The 26,962-nt window shown below is 39.4% G+C and overlaps 1 long non-coding RNA gene and 1 pseudogene across 1 annotated transcript in view; both read right to left on the bottom strand.

The window, feature by feature from the left end:
- Positions 1-3,040: 3,040 nt before the first annotated feature.
- Positions 3,041-26,962, bottom strand: part of LOC101929413 (uncharacterized) — a 33,940-nt gene continuing 10,018 nt past the window's right edge. The window contains exons 2-7 of the long non-coding RNA NR_109866.1: positions 24,814-24,875; positions 23,723-24,108; positions 22,324-22,570; positions 21,673-21,728; positions 6,032-6,081; positions 3,041-3,938 (exon numbers count right to left, since the gene is read on the bottom strand). This is a non-coding gene — a long non-coding RNA (uncharacterized LOC101929413). The remainder of the gene's footprint in view (positions 3,939-6,031; positions 6,082-21,672; positions 21,729-22,323; positions 22,571-23,722; positions 24,109-24,813; positions 24,876-26,962) is intronic.
- On the bottom strand, positions 16,276-16,798 carry FAT1P1 (FAT atypical cadherin 1 pseudogene 1; annotated as a pseudogene).

Genomic DNA, 26,962 nt, shown 5'->3' on the forward strand with positions numbered 1-26,962 from the left:
ATATATTGATTCTTTGTATATTTCTTATTACTTTCTAAACCACTGTGAAGTTCAATGTACTGAAGAAAACTCATGTCCATAAGTGACCCTCCCATTCTAAATACACAAATACAATCATCCTGAGCCTGAGGCTGGACTGTTAGGGACCGTATATTTTAGACTTCAAAGACACTTTGAACACCTTTTCTAGAAATGCATTTACTACCACCTGCTTTTTACCCTTTTTTTTTGTATATTTGGATTAATCAAATATCATCTTAGAGTGAATAACATCTAAAATGTGTTCCAAAAACTTATATTCCAAAGATTTGTGAATGTTTACTCACATTACCATTTATTTATTTTTTATTTTTTTTTTACTCTTGTGATAACCAATCACCTGTGGGATTTGCTCTTTCACCATCAACGTTCCTGTTGTTATTTGGTTGGGGAAATCATTCAAAAGCAGCTTTCTGCTAGAAGAGTCATGTTAGCCTGGGTGGTTCATGTCAACCTGGGGAGGGAGCCTGCCTTTTGGGATGTCTCTCCATCCTCTATGGCTCTCAGTATTGTTCCTCCTGAAACACCCAAAACACAGATCAACTCACTGGCCTTGTCACAAGCACAGTTCAGAGACATGTCTTTCCCAAGCTCTCAGGGAAGAGCTGTACTATGTCTTAGCACCTGATCTCTAGCAACAAGAGACTCTTTCATATTTTATCAGCAATTAATTGCAATCACTTCTGCTTTATGAGCTGACAAAGGCCTTCATCTTCATGCTTCAGTCATTGTTTCCTGATTTTTGTTGGGACTCAGGGATCACCTCCCTGCCATGGTTCACAAAGGTGCTAGCTTAGATACATTTTCCACCTTGCAACTGGGTGAGGCAGTGACTGAATCACGTGAGTCCAATTTTCACATTTAATAGGACATGAATTATTGTTGAACAATGTATCCTGCCTCTAGCCTACTGTGGGCGATTAAGAACATGCTTTGCGTGCATAATGACATCTGAGTAATGGAAAGAGAGTATGATATTTCAAAAGCATTGGCATCTAGCGGAAAATTTTGAAAGCATCAGGCCTTGGCCTGTTGTCATTTTTATTCTACCTTATTGAGGGCCCATGATACAACAGCTGGGGGTGATGATAATGATGTATAAAGTACAAGATGGGGTACAGGGTGATGAGTGGTGGCTTCATTCTGTTTAGCTGAGGATGGCCCATTCTTTACATCTGTCAGGACACAATGATTTGGCGACCCTCAAAGTACAAATAAAAATATTGAAAGATCAGATGAAACAAGTTTGGATCGTTGAGTCATTTCAAATAACTGTCCTAAGAAAAGGGAAATGTCAATGAGTTTGAGAAACTAATTTGTTGTTTTGACAAGAGGTAGAAGCAATGATCCTAGAGTCTCAGTGTTCTCAGAGTCTAGTTGAGTATTTCATATGTTGTTCTCCACAGCTCTTACTTATTTTATATATACTCACCTTGTCTCCAAACAGACTCTATTTCCCAAAGATAAACAACAGTCTTTATATTTTGGTTTTCTCTAGTATAGCATGGAACCCAGTTCCTAGCGCATAATAGAAACTTAACTGATTTGCTTTTGCTATTACTATGACTATATTATTATTTATATTATTATATATTACATATATTTATTATATGTAATTATATAAAAATTATTATTATTGCCTTGCAATTAATAATAATAGTAACAGTTAGGGAGCCTAGACTCCCTAACTATATGATCCAGTTATTAGTCTGTGTGCTTTACATATTTGCCCATTTTATTCTCACCATAAACTCTGAGATGGTTGTATTACATCTCTTCTGAGACTCTGGGAGAAATGTTAAAACTTGCAAAGGCAGAATCTGAATCCTTGTGTTTTGTATTCTTTTCACCATACCATGTGCATTGCTGCATTGTTGATAACCCTTGTTCTGGGTCTGAGATGTTTCTCCTTAAGTTAATGCGGAGCCTGACCATCCAGATCTATCTTCAGGCTCCTCTCAACTCAGTGGATAGTTGATATTATCTTGAGAAACATGTCAAGGTAGACTTAGAGTGAGCCCAAAGGGTGTGCACTCTGCTGTGATGCTCTTGAATTATTTCTGGGTTTTAGATAATTTCTCCTGGGGTTAGATTTAGTCTGAATCAATATATTGAGCTTTGGAATAGATTGCCCTTATCGTAGATCTACCTTTGTTCTTCCATGATCTTTACCATCTACACACTTGAAAAGGCCAAAAAAGTCACATTGTGTCCATATTCCAGAGCCTGTGATAAAAACCCAACAGCAGATTGAAACCCTACTCTACTTGCCTTTCTCAAAAACAGCCCAGGTAGAAGTAGAGGGAAAGAAGCAATGGGGAAGAGGCCCAGGAGAAGAGAATCAGCTTACCCTGTAAATTTAATCTAATGGCGGGAATCAGTCACTGTGTGACCATATTTTATTGCTGGAAAGTTCTTGTGCTATACTAATTTTGTTAGAATTGCCTGAAGCCTAATATTTCCAACATAGCACTCCTGGAAGCTTCTATTAACCAGTTGGAGTTGGCATATAGGATAAAAACTATCCATGATCTCTGATTTAGAGGGTTTCTTTTTAATAACATGTTTTTATTTTTTATTTGCAAAACAAAACACCAGGGCAATGTGTGCTTTCATTTTGGTGGAGGCCACGGGGCTTCCCTTAAGGCAGACACTCAGCTGTTGGGCTGGTCTCTTACCAAACCCAACTGGCAGGAGTAGAAAGCTTCCTGTCTAGTTGATTCTTCTTTCAAGCAGTGAGTGATGTAGTAGATGAAAAGAGGAGAAGTAGAATTAACTCTGTCCTGCTGTTATTTGGAATAAAAGCACATAGGCTTTTACTGGATTTAGATGGTCATTTGTCTTACTTGGGTAAATTGAAAATTCTATATGCCATCTTAAAACCCTACAGCATCTTTCCTGAATTTTTCTGTAAGTGAAACTAAAGGGAACTCAAAAATCTTCAAAGGTAGTCTAGACATGCAAGAGAAACATGTTTTTGGAGGAAAACATACAACTTATATGATCTAGAATATTCCAAGATATTTGTGGTTGGTTTATTGCAGAAAAGTCTCAAATTTTCTATTACTCTCTGTGTTCATGCCATTGACCATGTGACTTTGCAGCTTATTCCATCAAGAGGTGGAATCTGTTTTCCCCTCCCACTGCCCCTTGAATCTAGGCCATCCCTGTGACTCGATTTGGCCAATAGAATGGAGTGGAAGGGATGGTGCGTTCAATCTGAGCCTAGGCCTCAAAGGCCATGATTCAATCTGAGCCTAGGCCTCAGAGGCCTCATGGCTTCTGCTTACTCTCTTCTGCCACTGCCATGTGAACGTGCATGGAATATCATTTTGTAGAATATGGAACAGAAATGAACCACCTTAGCTGAGGGCATCCTATACCAGCCAGCCCCTAGCTAATCCAGTAGTTACCTGCAGGAACATGAGTGAATCCAGCTGGAATCAGTTAAGCCTGGCATGGCTCAGCAGAACCACTTAGCTGATCCAGACACTCATCAGCAATAATACATGGTTGTTTTAAGCCACTACGTTTTAGGTTGGTTTGTTATGCAGCAAATGCTAGCTGATACACATTGCGATGCCAGTGATTTTTTTCATGGGTAATTTATATAGCATATGTAGAGCTATGCATAGTAAATTTGACATTTAGTAGGTATTTAATAAACACTGGTTCTGGTCTTCCTTCCCTTTCCCTAAAGAGATATACTTCCAGATTGGAGTTTGCAGGTTCCAGCCAGAAAATAGAATAGCAACTTGGAAGTCACGTCACAAAGGTGTCCATGAGTGAGGGATTCATAACAGTAGTAAAAATAGGAAGTCGTTTTTTTCTGAGGCTAGACGAGACACTGATGTTTCTTCCTTGCCTTCCTAAACAGCAACTCTTGGTGTTATCACTTCCTGGGAGAGAAGAAAAAAGGAGACTTCAGACATTTAAAAACTCACCCCTGAATTCTAGTCAATTAAATGACACTGTCTCTGGTTTATATATTTTTTCTTTAACAAAATTTGTCAAAATATAGAGAGTACTGTTACGAAAATTAAGCATCTTGGGTCTGTGTGACCTTGTGGAAATCACCAACTCTTTCTGGGTCTCAGTTTCCCATCTCTCAATTTGGAAAGTTAGACTCTCCCATATGATTCCTAGCTCCAACCATCTATGACTCTTCTAGCAGCACTGTAGTGAAAGTAGAAACGTAAGCTCCAAAGCCCAACTGCTCACTTGGAAATGTGGCCTGATGCTTTCTATCTATATACCCTTAGACAAATTAATTATACCCTCTGTGCCTCAGTTTCCTTATCTAAAAATGAGGCTGCCTCATGGCAAGGTTCTGAGGATTACATGCTATAATCCATGTAAATGGCTTAGAACAGTGCCTGGCACACAGAAACTGCTTAACAAGTGTTAGCTATTATTTCCTTTGGCATAGAGTCACATCTTATGCAACAGCACTTTCATGGGATTTAAATGTTGAAAGTTCAAATGGTGAACATCAACCAAGTGGATAAAACTGCAAGATGTTTTTGAAATTCACATACACGCAAAAGAGTATTAACAACCATCCTCAAGCTCTTATATCCATAATTCAAAAGGGCTATTTTTCCTCACCTAGTTAGGTGTGGTTATCTCATATAGTAGAAATTTACCACTTTAGCTCTGAGCTTATTTTTCTTTCTCTTTTGCTGCTACTCTTTGGCTACAAGCAAGAGGAAGTGTAATGCAATATTAAGAAAATGGGTCCTAACTCTGGTTCTGCCACTTACTAACTTGATTAGATTTTTAGTTACTCTGTCCCTCCATTTTCTCATATGTAATATATGGGTAATAATCAAGCCTGCCTTATAGATTATTGTATAAACACAATACATTTAGAAAAGTGACTGGTACACAGCAGGCTTTTAATAAAACACTATGGATTGGTATATTATTATATTCTGCTCCACTAGAATTGTTTAAAGGAAGCGTTAGGAACCCAAACATTGTCCAAAGGAATATCTTTAGGGATGAAGTAAGATGGTACGTATGGGAATGCGATTGCTGACCCACTCAGATCCCCTTGACCAGACTGGTGTTTCCATATCCACGTGCTATTAGCATTGGCTCTTAATGGTTTACAGCTGCCTCTTTCTTTGGAGAATTGCTCTTGGCCAGATGGGAGTTGCCTAGCCTGGAATTGCCTGGGAAGTTATGCAACTCCCTTGCCCCTGGGAGTGGCCAGCAGCCAAGGACTGACTGATGCAGGGGCACAAAAGGACCCTTTGCCTCAAAGAGAGGGAGGCAACTCTGTGGTGCAATCCATGCTCCAGTGCTCCCTGTGGGATCAGATTGAGATTAGGCTCCAGCTGAGACCACACCCTTAGTTTGCTTCTCCTTTTTTTCCTTTCTCCTTTATCAGTAAATTACTTCCAAGTGAATCCTCACTTTGGGCTCTGCTTCTAGACCCTGACTTAAGATACAAAGGAAGGAGAAATGAACCATGAACAATTCCAGAGATTTTGAGACATGGCAATTGGACTTTCTGTCAGGGTAAACATCACAGGTAGGTGTAGTTTTGATTCCATTCAAGTTTCTGTTTGGGGGAAAGGCTGGAGGGGTTCAATAGGAGTTGAGATGACAACAAGGCCTTAGACAACGTCATATATGAGCCCGCCATAGTGGGCTCTGTGCTACTGAGGTCTGTGTGTCAAATAAGCGCGTGTTATCTTAGTTTGAGCTTGTGGTAAAATACACATCCCACACATAGATTTTGATGAGCCATGTGATCATTACAAAAATTAGTACCCACTAGACTTAGAGTCTTCCAGCACCCAAGACACCCAAGACACTCAAGACACTCTCCATACTAAATTCCATTCCATAGTCAAATCTTTTGACTATGTAGAAATCCACTTTTTTGTTATCACAATTGCCTTCCTTCCACACTCATCAAAGAAGACTGTCCCCAGGACTTTGGGGATGAATTAGGATGATAGCTATGAAATTGTATGCTTACAAAGCACTGGCCAGGCTGGAGCAAGGAGCAGGTCGTCCATGGCGGGATTCCTATAATTTGTTCCAGAAAGAGATACAAGATAAAATTATCTGATGGTGCCATAAAAAGAATAAAATCATGTTTCTCAGTAACATGGATGGAGCTGGAGGCCGTTATCTGAAGTGAAATGATTCAGAAACAGAAATTGGAAAACCACATGTTCTCACTTATAAGTGGAAGCTAAGCAATGGGTACACATGGCTGTGCAGAGTGGAATAATAGACACTGGAGACTCCAAAAGCAGGAGGGTGGTAGCGTGAGGGATGAAATGCCACCTATTGGGTACAATGCACACTATTCAGGTGATGGGTACATGAAAAGCCCAGATTTCACCACTGTGCAATATATCCATGTAACACCACTGCACTTTCACTCCCTTAATTTATAAAAATTTAAAAAATTAAAGAAAAATTACTGGAGGTGTAGGTTTGGGCTTGTAAGTGCGGAAGAACCAGCCACCCACTTAAATTCAAAGGCCCATTCCATCCTGATGTTTTCATGGAGGAGTGCAATACAGAATCTTCCCAGAGTGTTCTTTCTCCTAAAAAACGGGGCAGGGGGCAAGGGATCAGCTCTCATTATTCTTTCATTCTTTCCCCCTCTCTCTTTTCTTTTACTTCAATCTACATGTGACATCTTATAAGCATTTTCCTGTATGCTCAATTTAACATACTAAAGAACACTTACTAAAATGAGTTATTATTTCTATCTGTCAAAGGATCTTATGAAATTTGTCATTTGCTTCTCAAAACCATGCAATATTATCTATAAAATAGAACTGGGTGCAGTTTTCTTGAGCATTAACTAAAAATGATGCTATGCAATTTGTACTACTAGTTTTATATTAAAAAGGGCACAATAATGTAGAGGAGTAAATAAATAGTACATGAACTTTAAAGATAAACACGAGATTTCAGGGAAAAAAATTGCAATTATGAGGGACTGTTATGAGTTCACCCCTCAAACCTCTGGTTTAGTATTATTAGTAAAACCATTAGCATAAGTGTTCTCTTATGCTAAAAGGATAATTTTGGTGGAAGTGTCTGAGAAACACTTCTACATATAATATCCACCAGTTCAGAAGATAACATAAGCAAGGCTTCAAAATAAATGTGCAACAGGAGGGAGGAAAAGATGGGAAAACTTCTAGCGCCATTTTCATTCCGAGACTGAAAATGCCAATAGTATTCCAAGTTTAGGTGACTACTGCATAATTGGCTAAAACATAGCTCACCATATTCTTTGGAACAGTGAAGAATTCACCTCAGGGAGACACAGATTTGCTATATCTCATGAGGGGGACAGGTCTGGTACATGGCCACTCGAAGCTTGCTTCTAAGAAGTGATTGAGTGGACGCCCGGGAAATGAATGGTGGCTTTTAAGATTCATTGTCCAGGAAATAAGAGAGTTATGTTGTTTCATGAGTAAATTGGAGGCTGTTTAGTCCTGGGGACTTTTCAGGCTTAAGAGGGCCTGGGAGAAACCTTCCTTCTCATGATTCTAAATGACTATTAATGTTGCAGCCACTCTGCAACTGTCAGTGTGTGACGTGAATTGGACTCAGGAATTATCGCAGGTCAGTGAGTGAGACTGCATCTCCTCATGCGAGAAAACCATGACACTTTTGTCCAGCAGAAGTGGGAGTCTTTGGGGCTGACCAATGAGTTGCAGAGATGGTGCTCCTTCAGAAAAGGCAGGTAGAGAAGTCCTGCTTTTTTTCTGGGCAGAGTGACTTTTATTCTGACATCTCAGCTTCCCAGGAGAGGGTGGTACAGCAAACTCAGGAAGGTAGTTTGGAGTCGGTTTCGAACCGTGTTATGAGCAGCCTTTTAATAAGGTGGCAAGATACAAAGCATAGAAGAGAGTTTGGAAATGAGAGACCATCTCATGGTAAAATCTAGAAGATGGTGTGAGAATATCAGGTCTGAAAAGAGACCTTGGAAAGATTAGGAAACCAGACCCCATCGCTTGATCTGCAATTCGTTGTGTCTTCTCAGCTCATGGCTCTGCTCTTGGAGATACTGTGTTTAAGTTTTTATGCACTGGTTTTTTTTTTTTCCTTTTTAAAATAAAATCTTGGGCAGGCAGAGCCTACTCTTGCAGGGCCTGAGGCAGGATGGAGTGGGGTGCACACTGGTTCTTTTGATCATGATTTCACTTCAAGCAGTGGGGATAGATTTCATGTTTCCTTCCTGCCCTTTCCCACGAAGCATGCAATTGAGTGGGTGGCTCAGTCAGAAATGCCCAATAAATATTTGCCAATGAACATAATGGAGCAACACTGATGACAGCAAGGGGTTTGTCCCATCCCTACTGTCTCTTGGAGGTGGCACAAATGTGGTCCTGACACCGGGCCTACGGGAGACTTTGTGGCACTCTCTGAGCCTGGAGGCCTGGCCATGATCCATCTTACATCGTTCTACCTACCTGAGTTCCCTATGCAGTTGCTGCCTTCCAGTGCTTCTCATTTCCCAGAAAAGGAATCACTGTTTCTCCTAACGAGTATGCAGACGGAGGAGGGAATTAAGGAGACAAGTGAAAACCACCCAGCAAGAGGACTTGAATAGTGTGCAGGGGAGGGTGGTGAAAAGGAGGAAAGGAAAAATGTATCAAAACAATATTATGTCAGTTCTATAACTTTCCGCTAATCCTTATGTGGATTTGTACCAGCGTTCATGTCTTACAGTCTAAGACAAGAGCCAGACAAAAATGCTTGGACTTAATAAATCTAGGAGAGAGGTTTGTTTATCAAGGTCTAGCATTGTTTGAAAACTCAACATCTGTTGAAGACTCGTAGGCCTTTGCCCCCCACACTTTGTGCAGGTGCTTCTGGTCTTATGACACTGGTGCATGGATTTTAAAGAAACATTCAGTGAAAAAAGCTCAAGGTCATCTCTATACATTGCCATGGCCTCTGCTCCTAACAAGGCCTCCTCATCTCTCGCTTGGATAGTTGTAGCATTTCCAAATGGGTCTCCTTACCTCCCATTATATCCACACAGCCCACTCCTCACAGCAAGTTAGTCTTTCTAAAGCCCAGAATGTGAAAACTTTCTAATACACCCCTAACTTATTAATAGGGATCTTCAAATTCTGAAATTTTTGTTAAGAAACAAAACTTGGCTACCATTCTTCCTTAGGTGGTCTTTTCTTACGTTTTTAAATGCAAATATTTTATAAAAGTATAACATAAGTGTAGAAAAATGTGTGTGTTGATGAATTCTTATACAATTTGCATGTGCATGAAACCAGCAGCCGGCTCATGAAACACAATACAACCAGCACCCCAAAAGCCCCTCGACGTCCCTCCTAGTCAGTATTCCCCCAAGGGTAATCCTTGTCTTGACCTCTAATCCCATGGATGAGTTTTATCTTTTTGGAACTTTGAATAGATGGAACCATGCAGCAGGAATTCTACTGCATCAGTTAGCATGATGTTTGTTTCATCCATATTGTGCATGTGGTTGGAGCTGATTCATGCTCATCACTGTATAATGTTTCGTTGAAGGGATATTTATTTACCCATTTTACTGTTGTTGTTTTTTTCTTTTTAGACAGGGCCTTGCTCTGTTTCTCGGGTAGAAGTATAGTGGCAAGATCAGGCCTCACTGCAGCCTCAACCTCCCAGGTTTAAGCATTCCTCTCATCTCAGCCTCCTGAGTAGCTGGGAATACAGGCATGCAACGCCCCATCCAGTCAATTTTTAAATATTTTGTAGATATGGGGTCTTACTATGTTTCCAAGGCTGGTCTCAAACTCCTGGGCTCAAATGATCCTCCTGCCTTGGCTTCCCAAAGGGTTGGGATTACAGGCATGAGCCATGAGCCACTGCACCTGGCCCCATTCTACTCTTGATGGACATTTGGGTTGCGTCCAGCTTTTGGGAATGATAAATAGTGTGGTAATGAAAAATTTTCCTAAACAAGGCCCCAAAGTGCCGAGTACAAAGGGAAATGTTGATAAATTGGCTATGTTAAATTAAAATCTTTTGCCTTTCAAAAGACATCGTTGAGAGAGAAAAGCCAACACATAGAAGATAATTACAGTATATGTTATCTGGAGAAAGAACTCATTTCTTGAATATAGAGAGAGCTTCTATTAATCAATAAGAAAAGTGCAAATGACTCAATAGTGAAATAGTCAGAGACTTCAATAGGTACTTTACAAAACAGCACATCCAAATGCCAATGGTCCTTAAATGCATGAAAAGTTGTGCAGGCAATATTTTTCAGCTTTACTAGTCTCTTCACTACTCCCAATTAAGCCATACTTTCCTATTTCAGTATTTTTGCACAGATTTTTGAACCTACCTGGGGTGACTTGACCTCCTTTTCCACCTCCTTATTTTTTAAGGACCAACCAGAAAATCAGCTCCTTCCAAAGCCTTCCCCACTCCTTTAGGCAGAATTAATTGTTGCTTCTGTAGGATCCCAAATTGTGATTTTTCTCAGAGTGAGATGTTTCATTAATCTATCTTCAGGTTCCCAGTATACAGCATTGCTCTTGGTGCATAATAGGTGATCAATACATGGCTTTCTGAATGAATGTCTAACTTTCTCCTCAAACCTCCAGATAGGATTTAAACCAATGAGGTACAGTGGTAACAAAGGCTTGCTGTGTTGAACGGGAGTTTTTATTAGCCGATACAGAGGTTACTTCATACGGAAAAATGCTGGCCTATTTCCCAAATCATAGCTCATTTTCAATGAATAGTATCATCACAAACCTGTGAACAAAGACCTAGTACTCTATAGGTTGAAAGACATGTTCATATATATATATATATATATATATTATATTAATAAGTAGGTCTAAAAAACAGCTTTGCTATTCAGAAAGGTCGCTGTGGTGAGTGGTGGGAGCACCAGTTTAGGTCAGGAAACTTCCTTGTTGTATGATATAGGCAACATTTCTGATCAGAGCAAATTTTCTTTTGTCATCATCCTCATTTCCTGGTACCTCTTTTTCCCCCCATCCCCCCACCACTGGCTCGTGCTTGTACAGGGTTCTCACTTCCCCAAACCCAAAGTGTTTCGTGCCTCCAACTTGCTTGTTTCCAGCCTCATATAATTTCTTCAATCCCAACCTTTTATTCTTTTACTGTTCTACCTTAGTTTAGTTTAGCCAGATGATAAGAAAAAACTTGTTTATTAAGAGAAGGACCTGTCCTTCTCTTAATACCTTTCACAGAGTGGATTCTCAAAACATATTTATTGAATCAATGGCTTGGCAATTTCTTACCAAAGTGGGAATGGTTACCAGCTCCTTAACCTTCACATTAGCTTGACTGAATTTTCAACTTATGGGATTGTAGCTGATAAGAAAATGAGTGAAAATGTTTAGGAAAGCATATACAAAAAGAGATTCTGAGGCAGATAAAGCAACTTTTTCTTGGAATTTGACCCTGGGACCTTAGGTTGATTCTCTAAACATAGTGTTTTTCTTTATTTTACTTTGGAAATTTATTTTCTAAATCAATAATACACCCCCTTCCCTTTTCAGAGAATGAGAATCTCCCTTTAACATTCAAACAATCTTTCATATCCAAGAGTATTAAAATTGATAAATATCAAACGATCAAGTCTTACTCTGAATTGAATGTTTTATAATAAAGTGTATTTCAGTAGCATGATACCCATATGTATTTGTTGTTATGGGTATATATTTGTATGAAACATATTATTAATATATGTTTATAGATAAAGCTTGGTGTGAAAATCAATCCATGAGTCCTTGTCAATTAATCCAAGGACTCCTGGATCACTGTTGTAAAAGCTGCACCTTTTGTCCCCAGTGGTATTAACAACACACAGTAGCAATTGTTTATAACACAGATTGAATGTTAACTGGGCACTGCCTAAAATTATCAGCGGGATGAATGCTGACTTTATGAACTGTTATTTATGGCTTGTCTTAGGTTGGGTTCCCTAGAAGCCTGAGACAGGGATTTGGGGAAAAGTTATTTATTGAGGGAGTGCTCTCAGAAGAAAGGGAGGGAAGGAGAGGAACAGGGCAGGAAATGAGAAGAAGCATAAAAAAGATGAGATTTTGGGTAAAGTGTAGCTTCAGCCTGATCCTGCAAGGAGCTCTGGCGTGTGAATGGCACCACCAGTTTGTTCTACCTGAGAATTGAGAGTCTGTCCTTCCTTCACAAGTCATTCGTTGACTATGGGATGGCTCAGGGGGATTGTAAACTCCTTGCAGGTGAGGTGGCTCCAGTTGCTCAATAGTAATCCTCCAGAGAATGTCGCAGGCATGAGTTCAGAGCACATGGACCACATAGCAGCTGAGGATGCACGGAACTGGTGAACAGATCTGGAAAGGGCACTAAGAGCATGTAATTGTTACATGGCTTTATTCATTCATTCGTCCACTTAATATATATTTGTTGAATCCCTAGTCTGTGCAAGTTCCTCAGATAGAGTGGTGAATAAGTTGAATAAGGCCTTATTTTCATAAAGCTTACAGTTTGTAGGAGAATACAGAAGTAAACCAGTAGATAACTATAGCAACAAGGTAACTTTAGAGATTGATGATTTTCTTAGAGAAAAGATAAGCAGTTCAATAGGTTGTGGAATGACTGGGGCAAAGGGCAGGCCCAATGAAAGCACTTTTGGTTAAATGGTCAGGGATGGGGACTTGAGCAGAGATAAGGAGCAAGCCGTGCAAGGATGGGAGTGTGCAACATTTTGGCAGAGGGAATGGCCATCGTCAGAGCCCTAAGATGGGCCAAAGCTCAATGCCTCTGAAGAACAGAATGAGGTCTGGTAAGCCTGTGGTGCACTTGGGAGAGTTGTAAGAAAAGGGTGGAAAAGTGGGCATAATGCACAAAGGAGTCCAACATTGTAAGAAGTTGGGCCATCTTGTATTCCAGTTGTAGAAATGAGTTCTTGGATCTGCATTAAGATGGGAAAGATAGCAATTTGTCAGACCGTGACTTAGGTTTGCCTTAACATTGTCTATTAAAAACAGGGGTTTACTAAGCAGATTAATAAAATAAACAAGGAAAAATTTAGGATTAAAGGACATCTCACTGTTTTCAAACTCCAGAAGCATAGCAGGCATTGATTTCAGACATTTTATATGGTAATTATGAGAAAAATTTCTCTTTGTTAAAACCTTCCCAAGATTTTAAAAGATATATAGCTGGACTCAACCTTCCTTTGTCCTTGGCAATGTGACAAAGCAGCATTTTTAGAAAAGAATGTAAATTGGACTTGACCTTGGTTATACACAGGGAGAGTTATCAAGGTCATTTTATTGGGATTTTGTTTGTATTGTAATTGCTATTAAAATGAATCAAGAAGTAAGTATAGAACATCTCTTTTTCGTTCAACATTCTGCTCTGGGTACTGAGACTGCAAGTCTTAAATGCAGATCTATTTCTCCATTCTCAAGTAATGATGTGTTTTCCTTAATCTTCTCCAAGTCCACTGGAGAAGGTACTATGATTGCAAATGCTACTAGATCAACATCACGGAAAATGTTTCCTAGACTTTATTCCTGAAGAGGATAATACTTGCAGACTATCAGCCTCCATCAAAGCTGGTGAATGAAACCCACTGAACCTGTATAAAAGAGGCCCAGGAAAACTGTGTTTTTGGTCTGATCTATCAGATCATCATTGAAGATCAAGATCAGAGAACAGCTCTCTAAACCGAAGCAAACTTAACATCTCAAACCAGAATGAACTGGAAATATAAGCAGCATTTTTATTCTTTCTAAAAATGGATTTTTCAAATAGTTTTGATTTATCAAAGATTCACAATCATTTTGTCATATTCTTTCCCACATCAACCCCTGCCTTTACGCCCTTCTGTGAAACCCACGTTTAATTTAGGGGGAACTTAAATCCATATATTTCTGATTCATTTGCTCGATGTTCTTTGGGAAGGCCTAGTTGATGTACGAAGAGTCTTATGATAACTTTTATAAGCCTTTAAGAATTTTTCTTGGAGACAGAAAATCATCTTTTCAGGCTTAAGGTGATCCTCAAAATCAGAAAAAAACTCTGGCTTATTGGAAATGGTGCTTTGAGGGAGTCTTAAACTCAGGCATTTGTGTATGTGTGTCCCACCCCAGTTGTGAGCTGTGCAGCAGGTAGCAGATAAATAGCCCCTGAGAGGTGGGAGAAGCACAGGAAAAGGGACACAAAAAGAACCCGAATAGTGTAAGGATTCTTGGACCTGCCATGTTTTTCCATTTCTGAAGAGCAACCAGGGAAGTTCCACAACCTATAAAGTCAGATTCAATCTATGAAGCATATCTAAAGCCAAATGATTGTCAATCAACTTTGTATAGCATCTCTGAGCAAGTCAGAGAATGCTAGGACAGCTTTCAGATTTGTAAATAGCATAAGGCTTCATTTGTAAGTGCACTTCACTGTTGCTCAGCACTGTTCAGTGACCAGTCTTCATTTTTTTTTTTTATTACACTTTAAGGGCTGGGTTACATGTGCAGAACATGCAGTTTTGTTGCATAGGTATACACGTGCCATGGTAGTTTGCTGCACCCATCAACCCATCACCTATATTAGGTATTTCTCCTAATGTTATCCCTCTCCTTGACCCGCACCCTTACAGGCCCTGGGTGTGATGTTCCCTTCCTTGTGTCCATGTGTTCTCATTGTTCAACACCCACTTATGAGTGAGAACATGGGGTGTTTAGTTTTCTGATCTTGTGATAGTTTGCTGAGAATGATGGTTTCCAGCTTCACCCATGTCCCTGTAAAGGACATGAACTCATTCTTTTTTATGGCTGCATAGTATTCCATGGTGTATATATGCCACATTTTCTTAATCCAGTCTATCACTGATGCACATTTGGGTTGGTTCCAAGTCTTTGCTATTGTGAATAGTGCTGCAATAAACATACGTGTGCATGTGTCTTTTTAGTAGAATGATTTATAATCCTTTGGATACATGCCTAATAATGGGATTGCTGGGTCAAATGGTATTTCTAGTTCTAGATCCTTGAGGAATCACCACACTGTCTTCCACAATGGTTGAGCTAATTTACAGTCCCACCAACAGTGTAAAAGCGTTCCTATTTTTCCACAAAGTCTCCAGCATTTGTTGTTTCCTGACTTTTTAATGATCACCATTCTAACTGGTGTGAGATGGTATCTCATTGTGGTTTTAATTTGCATTTCTCTAATGACCAGTATGATGACGATTTTATCATATGTCTGTTGGCTGCATAAATGTCTTCTTTTGAGAAGTGTCTGTTCATATCCTTTGCCCATTTTTTGATGAGGTCATTTGCTTTTTTCTTGTAAATTTGTTTAAATTCTTTGTAGATTCTGGATATTAGCCTTTTGCCAGATGGATAGCTTGCAAAAATTTTCTCCCATTCTATAGGTTGCCTGTTCACTCTGATGATAGTTTCTTTTGCTGTGCAGAAGCTCTTTAGTTTAATTAGATCCCATTTGTCAATTTTGGCTCCTGTTGCCATTGCTTTTGATGTTTTAGACATGAAGTCTTTGCCCATGCCTATGTCCTGAATGGTATTGCCCAGATTTACTTCTAGAATTTTTATGGTCCTAGGTCTTATGTTTAAGTCTTTAGTCCATCTTGAGTTGATTTTTGTATAAGGTGTAAGGAAGGGGTCCAGTTTCAGTTTTCTGCATATGGCTAGCCAGTTTTTCCAACACTATTTATTAAATAGGGAATCCTTTCCCCATTGCTTGTGTCTGTCAAAGATCAGATGGTGGTAGATGTGTGGTGTTATTTCTGAGGCCTCTATTCTGTTCCATTGGTCTATATATCTGTTTTGGTACCAGTACCATGCTGTTTTGGTTACTGAGGCCTTGTAGTATAGTTTGAAGTCAGGTAGTGTGATGCCTCCAGCTTTGTTCTTCTTGCCCATTATTGTCTTGGCTATGTGGCTCTTTTTTGGTTCCATATGAAGTTTAAAGTAGTTTTTTCCAATTCTGTGAAGAAAGTTAGTGGTAGCTTGATGCGGATAGCATTGAATGTATAAATTACTTTGGGCATTAAGGCCATTTTGACGATATTGGTTCTTCTTATCCATGAGCGTGGAATGTTTTTCCATTTGTTTATGTCCTGTCTTATTTCCTTGAGCAGTGGTTTGTAGTTCTCCTTGAAGAGGTCCTTCACATCCCTTGTAAGTTGTATTCCTAGGTATTTTATTCTCTTCATAGCAATTGTGAATAAGAGTTCACTCATGATTTGGCTCTCTGCTTGTCTGTTTTTGGTGTAAATTCTCTTTTACACTTTCAGAGTCTGCTTCAATGGCATAGGTGACATAGGCATTGGAGCCCTCATCAGCATCACTTGCAAGAACTTTAATGACTAAAGTCCCCGTAGCAGCACTGGGTCTGATATTCACTTCATATTTGGTCACTCGAAATTGTGGTGTATTATCATTGTCATCTGTAAGGATGACATTAACTGTGCGGAAAGCAACTTTCCCACCAGCATCCTTAGCCATTAAACCGACTGAGATCACTTTCTCCGCTGGGGTTTCTCGATCAAGTTTTTCCAGAGTAAGTATCTGTCCTCTCTCATTTATATAAAATCTGTCTTTGGCAAAGTCATTTACAATATGTTAAGTAACGTGACCATAAATACCAAAACCCCCATCCGTAGTTTTAACCCCTATCACCAGGGTATGTAGCGGAGCGTTTTCAGCTAGTTTCACTTCATATTCATTCTGAAGAAAAGCAGGACTGTGCAAATTTTCTGCAATTACAGTCACATGAACCTCTTTTTTTATTTTTTTTTTTGACGGAGTTTTGCTCTGTCGCCCAGGCTGGAGTGTCATGGCATGATCTCGGCTCACTGCAACCTCTGCCTCCTGGGTTCAAGCAATTCTCTTGCCTCAGCCTCCCAAATAGCTGAGATTACAGGTGCCCGCCACCACGCCTGGCTAAGTTTTGTATTTTTAGTAGAGATGGGATTTCATCATGTTGTCCAGGCTGGTCTCAAACTCCTGACCTCAGGCAATTTACCTGCCTCAGCCTCCCAAAGTGCTGGGATTACAGGCATGAGCCACTGCACCCGGCCTTCATTTTCTAAAGAGCACAATAAAGTGTAAAGATGAAAAATTGTTGATTACAGAGTTAAACAAGTTCTACTAAGAATATGAAGACTGTGGGCTCGTTAGGGACACATGAACAATCGCTGGACAGTGTGTGCAAAAGTATAAGAATAATTTTCTTTGTCCCATTTATTTCAGCTGTGCTATGACCTTTTTTAAGCAGGCTTTGAGGGCACCTGATGTCTCTGGGAAAAGAATGATATATAAACCACTCATTTAAGCCAAGTACTTGGCAATGCATGCACGCTCATCAGAAATGGGTCATTTTATTGCTAAGAGCTTGGACTCTTCCTGGCTCGAGTGTCATTTTTCTACTAAGGCCAGAAATGTGCTCCACTATCATCATCCCAAGTTTGGCCAATTTTTCCAAAGCCAGTGTTTATACAATCCTCCTAAAAAGTTTTCTAGCCTCACCAGGCTGCAGTGGGGTGACTTGGAAAGCAGGGATGTGATGAACCTTCATCTCAATGAATGCCACTACTATCTATGTAGGTTTTCAAAGAAAAAAAAATCCAGAACAACACTTGATTCTTTTCTTTTTATGCTTTCCAAATGCAACCTATCAGCAAGTTCAAGAAGTCTTCCTTCTCAACTGTGGTCATCAAATCAGCAATATTAGCATCACCTGAAAATTTGTTAGAAATTCAGAATCTCAGGCCCCGTCCCTGACTTGCAGAATTACAATCTGCTCTTCAGCAAGCTTCCCAGTGATTCTTGTGCACATTAAACTTGGAGAAGCCCCTCCATGAAATACCTCTTTATTCACTGCCATCTCTTGCCTGGTTTATTGCAATTCTTTCCTCCCTTCTGCTCTTGTCCTCCTTTAGCCTATTTTCAATTCAGTTACCAGAGTGGTCTTCAAAAAAAAAAAAAAAGAAAGAAAAAGAAAAATTACTGAAATCAATTTACACTGCTCTTTAAAACCCAAAGCTCTGCACTGCACATGAATATCTGAACTTGCCATCACTTAAGAGTCCCATATGAAGTGGCTCATCTTCCCAACCCCTCTCAACCATTCTTCCTGGTCTGTTCTTTAGCCAAGCTGGTCTTTATCTATTTCAGCCTGCACGAGCTTTCTCTTTGTTTGGTGTTCTTTGGCAGGACTTCTCATGGCTTTTGGTCATCAGATTTATTACAAATGTCACCTACCTAGAGAATTCTTCTTGGCTACCATCTTAGTTGGTTTGTGCTGTTATAACAAAATACCTGAAACCAGGTAATTTACAAAGAACCAAAATGTATTTCTGCACAATTCTGGAGGCTGGGAAGTCCAAGATCAAGGCACTGACATGTTTGGTGTCTGGTGAGGGCTGCTCTCTGCTTCCAAGACAGTACCTTGTTGCTGCATCCTCCAGAGTGGAGGAATGCTGTGTCCTCACATGGCGGAAGGGCAGAAAGGCAAATGGGAGGGGCCTAAGTGAGTTTCCACCAGCCATTTAGTATGGCATTAATTCATCCATGAAGGTAGAGCTCTCATTACTTAATCACTTCCCCAAAGGCTCCATCTTCTTTTTTTTTGAGATGGAATCTCACTCTGTTGCCCAGGCTGGAATGCAGTGGCCTGATCTCTGCTCACTACAACATTCACCTCCTGGGTTCAAGTGATTCTTTTGCCTCAGCATCCAAGTAGCTGGGATTACAGGCATGAGCCACCATGCCCAGCTAATTTTTGTATTTTTAGTAGAGATGGTGTTTCACCATGTTTTCCAGGCTGGTCTCGAACTCCTGACCTCAGGTCATCTGTCTGCCTCAGCCTCCCAAAGTGCTGGGATTACAGGCGTGAGCCACCATGCCCAACTGGCTCCATCTCTTATTACCACTACAGTGGGGATTAAGTTTCAACACATGAGCTTGGAAGGACATATAGACCACAGCAGCTACCAAATTTAAATATACCTCCAATTAAACCATACATACCATATCATTCTCTTTTACTTTTTATTGCTTTCTGAATTATCTATAACTATCTTGCTTATTTGTTAATGGATTAATGATTGTTATCCAGAATGGATACTCTCAGAAACTTTTCCCATTTTATTTCCAGCTATATTATCAACACCTAAAATGGTACCTGGAATAGAAAAGGTACTTGGTATATATATTTGTTGAATAAATTAGTGAATAAATTCATATCTATATGATCTGAACAAAAACCAGTGTCTTGCCATTTATGTTCCTTCCTCTTTCTTTTCCTTTTTTTTTTTTTTTTTTTTTTGGCAAATATTTGTTAGGCACTTAACCTATGCCAGGTATAAGGATAACCAGGGGAGGGGAAATAGATCTTGACACTGTCCATGTGGAGTATACCAGGATGTAGCAGAGAATAATAACTAAAATCACAGCAATGCTGTCTCATAGAGTATATAAACGTTTTCCTAAGTTAGTTCAGGGGACCACCATGAGCTGTGGGGCTACAGGATGAATACATGCTAAACAGCAGAGGAAAGGGAAGAGAGTAGATGGGGAGAGCATTTCATTTTGTGCAGAAATAATAATGAATCCAAAGGCAACATGGCATATTGAAGAGACAGAAAGAGGGACCCAGAGAATAACTGGAGAACCGTATGTAGTGGGGCTGGCAGGCAGGTAGCCAGAGCAGTAGAACCTTCTGTGTAGGGCAACTATAAGTCCTGCTTTGCCTGGGGGATTTCTGGTCTACCTGTGTGATCTGCTGTAATTATTAGTAGCACCCTCTTTTATTGTCAGAAAGTGTTCTGATTTGGATTAGGAACTATGTGGTCACTCTTATGGGCCATATCATAGGCATTTATATTCAAAGACTCACCATAAAGTCTTGTGGTTAAGAATGATGACTCTGGACCCAGATTTTCTGGAGTCAAGTAAGTGGTTTACTATTATTTGCATTATGCATCCTTAGGCAAATTGCTAAACTTCTCAGCCTTGGCTTCTTCATTGTAAAATGGGGATTCAATAATTATAGTATTTAACTCATGTAATTTTAATAAAGATTAAATGAGTTAACACATGTTAATCTTGTAGCATAGTGTCTGGTATACATAGTAGGTAGGTACTCACCAAGTGTTAGCTATATTATTGTTATTATTAATATTTTAAAAATTGGCTTATTAATTTTTAGAGACGGGGGTCTCTCTATGTTGCCCAGGCTGGAGTACAGTGGCTATTCATAGGTGTGATTATAAAGCACTGCATCCTTAAATTCCTGGACTCAGGTGATCCTCCTATTTCAGCCTCCCCAGTAGCTGATACCATGATGCTCAGCTTTAAATTTTAGTGTATGAATAATAATGGGAGGCTGTGAAAGATATTAGAAGGTGTTGACATCATCAGAATTGTGTTTTTCAAAGGTCATTTAGACTTTCATGTGAAATAATATTTCAGGGAAAGCAAGGAGAAAATGCCTATAGAGTTCTCCATAAAATGACTAGTACATAATAAGTCTTCAATAAATAGACAAAATAAGTGATCATCATGATCTTAATTATCAGCATCTTGTAGTACAAATAGAAGTGTTCAGAAGTAATATAGTTCGTAAATATTTTCTATTACTTTCCATTTGGTAGTATTTGGGGACAAAGCAGCTATTTGGAATTTGAGAGTCAACTCAGAGACTATTGTCTTAGAATCAGTAGAAGTTCAAAGATCAGAGTTGGAGGGACCACCCAATTGACTCTTGTAAGTCAAGCTTTTTGCTCTCCCAAAAGGAATCCATAGGATTACAGACCCTCACTTGGAGTCTTTGGATTGCACAAAGTGTTTCTATATGAATGTTCGATTTGGTATGCAATAATTTCCAGGGCAAAATTACTCAGCAACAGCAAGAAGGGTTGGAAGGCTTCAGCAAATTCCTCCCGGTGGGCCTTGACTTGAACTTTTCGGGTCTGGACTATTTCTTCCACAGCTCCCTGACACTCCTGTTACCCCAAGGGTGAGAGGAAGCGATGTGAGTGAAAAGGGGCCCCTTTCTCCTGAGGTTAGTGCGGGAGACACCTCATAGTCACTTGTCACTTTGCAATTCCCCTCTCCCAGGAGTGTGGAGAAGGATTACAGAAACCTGGCAGATAATTAACATTGCCAGTGTGAATGGAAGGGATTTGTCACACAATGACTTGAGCACCATAACTTTCTCACTAAACCTGGGGAAAAGGTAAGGATTTATGGGAAAATCCCATTTAAGAATAGTTAAGGAACAGGGGGCATTATGGTAAATTGTTAACTATTCAGTTAACCAGGACTCATCCTGTTACCGTATCTGGTTTTCCCAGGCTAAAGGCTTAGAATATACTGAGGTGATTTTAGAAAACTAAGTTTTCTGACCTTTCCCAAGGCCTTTATAAACCTATGGGAATCATTTTAATGATTAGAGTCCATGGGGGGAAATTTAGCTTTTTGAATTCTTGGTGGATTGGCTTTTGGATAAAAGAGGATCCAACATATTGCATTAGATATCAGTGGTGAAAATCACATGGAATATTAGCAGGCAGGACCTGAGAAAAGAACATAACCACGTGTAGATGGGAGGCAATCTTTTAATTTCCAATGCATGACTAAAATATCCTACCTTTTTGCCATTTCCAGAGCACTGAAAACTCAAAGTTCTCTTATTTTTTCAGGTTTCTAAGGATTGAAAAAGAGATTTATTCAAAGCCATGCTGATTGTCATGAAGGTACCTTAAGGTGGTGTGTTATAAGACTGGTTTATGTAGAAGGACAGGAAATGAGAAAAGTGGTACTTGGAACTGACACTCCAAGTAGGGGAGGCAGGGACGGATGCACCGTCTAACATCCAACAACATATACAAATGCTAGTGAAGATAATGTCAATATTAAGTCCTACTATGTGTCACCATCTCATCGAGTTCTTCATAACAACATTATAGGAAAGTCATGTCATTCTTAATTTCATAGACAAAACCCTAAAGATGAGAGAATTTAAGTACCAGGCCAGACTGTGAAGGAACTTGAGTCCAAGCTAAGCACTTTATGACTCTCCTTTATGTTGGCCAATTTTGTTAACGTCAGTGGAATGCAATGTATTCTGAGCTTTTGGGAGAGTGATATCAAGCTTTAGGTGCTGGCCTCATAGGCTTTTTTTGTGGTAGAAATAAAAATTAATATAAAAGCATTTTGTAGGGAGGTATAATCTAATTTATAAATAGATAAAACCAGTATTTAAAGAATGTGATGTGTGAGGGAAAAGAGAAACCCCTACCTCAAAATATCTCTCTCATTGCTCAGCATAAGTATGTGAAGTTCCTTATTTGAAGATGCATTTCTTGGAGCCCAAGAGTATTTTAGAATTTTCTGTAATCTTGTTTCTTTTCTTCTCTCCTTCCCTCTGTCTTTTTGTTTCTTCATTTCTCAAACACTTATTGAGCGTCTGCTGAGTACGTGATATATTGCTTCAGGTAGAGGATACGAAAAGGAAAAGCATGTCCTTCCTAGAAGACACGTAGAGTCTGATGAGGAGACAATAGGGTCAGACAGTCATTGTGATAAAACCCAACGAGGGGAGGGAGCATGGAGCAAAAGAGCCTTGAAGGAGGCTGAGACCTTCAGAAAAGTTTGTGTAGAGGAGGTAGTAATCTAGCAGAGGTCTGAAGGATGGGTAAATAGGGGATGGACATTCTGGACAATGGGGAAACCTATCTCAAAGGCCTTGTGGCGTGAAATGATACTGTGTGAGACTGAAGAATGCTGAGCTTTTCAGTATTTTTAGGACATGAATTGGAATGGGAAGAATTGATAGGTGCAGGATTTTTGTGGGTCAATAGAGGGCCATATTATTTTAACAAAGGAGTTTAGGTTTTATCCTGCAGCTGATGAGTAACTCTAGTGATCTATATTATTTTAGCTGAAAGTAATTGCAAAGTCATTTATTGGCACCTAGGAAGTCCAGGGTTGTGTCTGACTTAAATGATAGCTATATCGAGTTGCTTCTAAACTTAACAGTGATTCTTCTGGATCAGCTTCATTCTTAGGCAAATATCACAACTAAAATTCTAGGCTTATATCTGGCAATCTCTACAAAAAAAAAAAAGTAACATTTTTTGTAACATCTCTGCATAAAAATCCCAGGGAGAATTCTCATTGACTCCGCTTGGATCATGTTCCTTCATCTGAACCAATCACTGAAGCCAAAGGAATGTCAACTTTGATTGACAGGTCATACGGTCATCCCTGGAACTGGTGAAGTGAGCTCCACTTAAATTCCATGGGCATTTCCCCAAGGAGATACTGGATAGCTGTGTTGGAAGCTTAGTCAATTACTCCCAGGTCCTGACACCCTCCCTGCAGTAGAAATTACAAGAGAATAAATATTCTTTTTGTAATAATTTTGATATGGAAATTGGGCACTGAACTGTGAAACTTTGAGGAGATCATAAATATGTCTACGAGAAGAAACTTAGGAAAATTTTGATGAAAGATGTGACATGATTGATTTGGTACTGCAAAGCTTGTTATGTCTTTAAAAATACATCATTTTGCCCTGATACAAAGAACAAGTTTTTGCCAATACAAAAAAATTCAACAAACCATGACTTCTCAAATATTGAGCAAAATTGATTGTCTTGGAAGATGTTCCATGTTTCTACAATGGGTACACCTACCTATTATAGCAGATGGCATAGGTGCTCTACCCAGATCCCCTCCACTGGGCTGGTGCACTCATCCCTTGGCTAGTGCAAGTGCTGTCTACTGAAGGCTATCAGCAGCTCCCTCCTCCAAGAAGGTTGACCAGCTGCATGGTACCATTCACTCTCTGGAGCTCCCTGTGGATGAGGCCGAGGCTAGACTTCTGAAAGCATGCCTTTGCCTGATCTTTTCTCCTGCTCCAGCTTGCTCCCCTTGCTTCATTGCAAGTTACTTCCTTGAGCTCTTCCTCCGTGTATCTTTTGCACAAGAATCCCCATCTGAGGTTGTGCTTCCAGGGAACCGACCCAATACACCCACCTATACATTTCTGTGTAGCTCAAGGGCAATGAGCCATTCTTGCCTAAAATATTTAAAGGAGAACAGTGAGTGCCAATTCTTTTCTAGGAATGGAAGCTGAAAGAAAGAATAGAAGGAAGAAGATGTCCTCTATACTACCTCATTCCTCTGCTGTAGGCCAGGCCTGCCTGTTTTCTCTGAAGTTCTAAGTGCCTGTGTGAAATTCTGTTGCTTGTTCTTTGCTGAACAAATATCTATTGCAATGCCACATTTTGGAATTTTCTTGGGAAAGCCAAGGCCTTTGATTTGTAGCTTTTATAATCCATGTTACCCCACCCTCCTGGAGCCTTGGGATATAGACAAGGAGGAGAACATAGCACTACTCTAACCTCACAGTATTCTCCTTAAACTAAAAAACAAAAAACAAAAATAAACCCCCAAACTCCGAAGAAACAGACAGTCTTAATACGATGCATGTGGTTATATTTTAGCTCAAATTGAAATCAGCTATGCAGATCCCAAAGATATTCAGATTCTACTTCTTTTTGTTTCTAAATGTGTTTCTATTATATTACAGAGATAATTGAATGGAATAATTTGCCTGGTTCTACAAGCAATTTGGATTCTTGTAATAGTTGCCTTTTGATTTTCCATAAATGACATATTTTAAATCACAGAATAGCTGCATGGGTTATTACAGAAAGTAGCAAATGGTAAACAGTAAGACTTGCTGTTTTCCTAAAAGCTCATGAGTTAGGAACATGCTTACTTTCAGTCACTTCATTTGCTTGGAGTCCTCTGATTTAGCTTCAGAGTTCTACTTCCATTTCCCTAAATGAAGAAACTTCGTTTAGAGAAAATTCATTGAGGACAGGGTGTTGGTTCTACATCTAACCCATGTTTGGGAGTCTCAGTAAAGTTTCATGGGGCAGTGTCCAGTTTCCCTATCAACATAATGACTGAAAAGAATATTTATTCTGTTTTAATTTCCACTGTAGGGAGGGTGTCAGGAGCAAGGAGTTATTGGCTAAGCTTCTAACACAGCTAGGTCTACGATGGGCATGATTGTAAGTTCAAAGAACCTGAAAAGACCTGCATCTTAACCAGGTACCAGGCTGATTGTTAAGAAGGGTGTGGAGCATGGGAGAAATTCCTTGGGTCTTACATAACAATGAGATCTATATATCAGCAAGTCTGCTAATAAAGGCTTCACTTTATTTCTGGGCTCCACCTAACTTTGTCCATCTGCCATTTGTGGTTACACCCTCAAGCAATTTTCCTAATGCCCCACTCCCTGTGGTACCACATTTTTTTCTTTTGACAATAATTTTTTCTTATTGACACTTTATTTTTCTCTACCCAACCCAAGGCTAGAATTTTATGGTAATTCCCATCTGAGGCCGCCATATTCTGACATGGCCTTAGCACTCTTTCTCTTAGATAATGTCTTTCTATTGCCTAACATTTCCCCCTTCTTCATTCCATAATATTTATCTTGCCAGGTGAGCTTTTAGGGAGCACAAAAGAGAACTGAACCAAATGTTTGGTTATTTCCCTTTGACAGGTAGCCTGAAGGCTACTAGATACTTTTCCAGAACGATGTTCTTAAGAGTTTGATTCTGCAATGTTTGCTTGATTTGGCATGGGTGTTCCAGTTGTCCTTCTTAGATAAATGGGAGGAAATACAATAATGTCAGAGAATGTCAGGCAAATGATGTGATTTTATTACAATAGCCTAAGAATGATTTTAAAGCTTTTGGAAGACAAATTACAGAGAGAAAAACTTTGCAATAAAAAATGCAGCTTAGCAAAGTAGAATCATCCTCCAAATATTGTCATGACAAGTCTAAAATTAAAAATAGCAGAAAATAAAGTAATCGCATAGTAGAAAATATAGTAATCGCATCTGACAACAAAATAATTTAACAAAACTTACCTGGACATGACATAAGAAGAGAGAAGTCAGGTATAGTTTAGGTAAAGATAAAAATGGTCATAGAATTGGACACATGTATACAGATAAATTTGTGTATTTAATAGATCTGATCATATTTGATAGATTATGTACATATCAGAAGTTGAAACTTTTCATCAGTCTCCTTCACACAGCTTTGCACACTTTGCTTTCATTCTGTTGTGTTGCCCTGGGAATTCATCGTAACTTGAAAAAAGTGGTGTCTTTATTCTTGTTTTTCCATGGCAATGCCAGCCAAAGAAGCATTTTCAGTTCCCTGCTCCATACTCATTCATGCAATGAGTTATTTTCACATTTTAGAGGTGCCTGATTTCTTAGGATTTCTTCATACCTTAAGGTTCTGTTTGTCATTGAAATGGGACAGGCTGTGCTGACACTGAAAAGCTGGTGAGTTCATCCTAAGATAATGAAGTCATCGTTGACCCCTCTCATGGACATCTTTGTGAGCTCATACTGAGTTCTAAGTCCAACTTAAACAAATTGTGACATATCATCTAGGAATATGATTGTGGAATTACATGACCACAGATACTCCCAAGGTACTGAACACATTATTGAGTGGTGTTAGAGGACTGAGCCAAGGAAACATTCTGGAAACTTAAGTAGAGAGAGGCTGAGAGAGAGAGAGATGGAGAGAGAGATGTGGTTCAGATATCCCTAGAAAATGGAGGAGACTCTGAGCAGTAGAAAAAGCTGCCGAAATGCATTGCCATGGACCTGACCTTTGATGGTAACTTATTTAGCAAAAGCAGAATTGTTTTTTTGTTTCCATATTTCATTTCCCTCCCCTTGAAGATAGAAACATGCCCATTTGGCTGGAAAGATGTCCATATTACATCCTAAATCATTTCCTTTGTAAGGAATATTTTTGCAAAAAATCCTTATAGTAATTCCCGGGTATAGAACAATAAATGTTTTACTATAATTGCCTTCAGAGTTTCAT

Source organism: Homo sapiens, chromosome 20 (assembly GCF_000001405.40).
Source record: "Homo sapiens chromosome 20, GRCh38.p14 Primary Assembly".
NCBI classification, from domain to species: domain Eukaryota; kingdom Metazoa; phylum Chordata; class Mammalia; order Primates; family Hominidae; genus Homo; species Homo sapiens.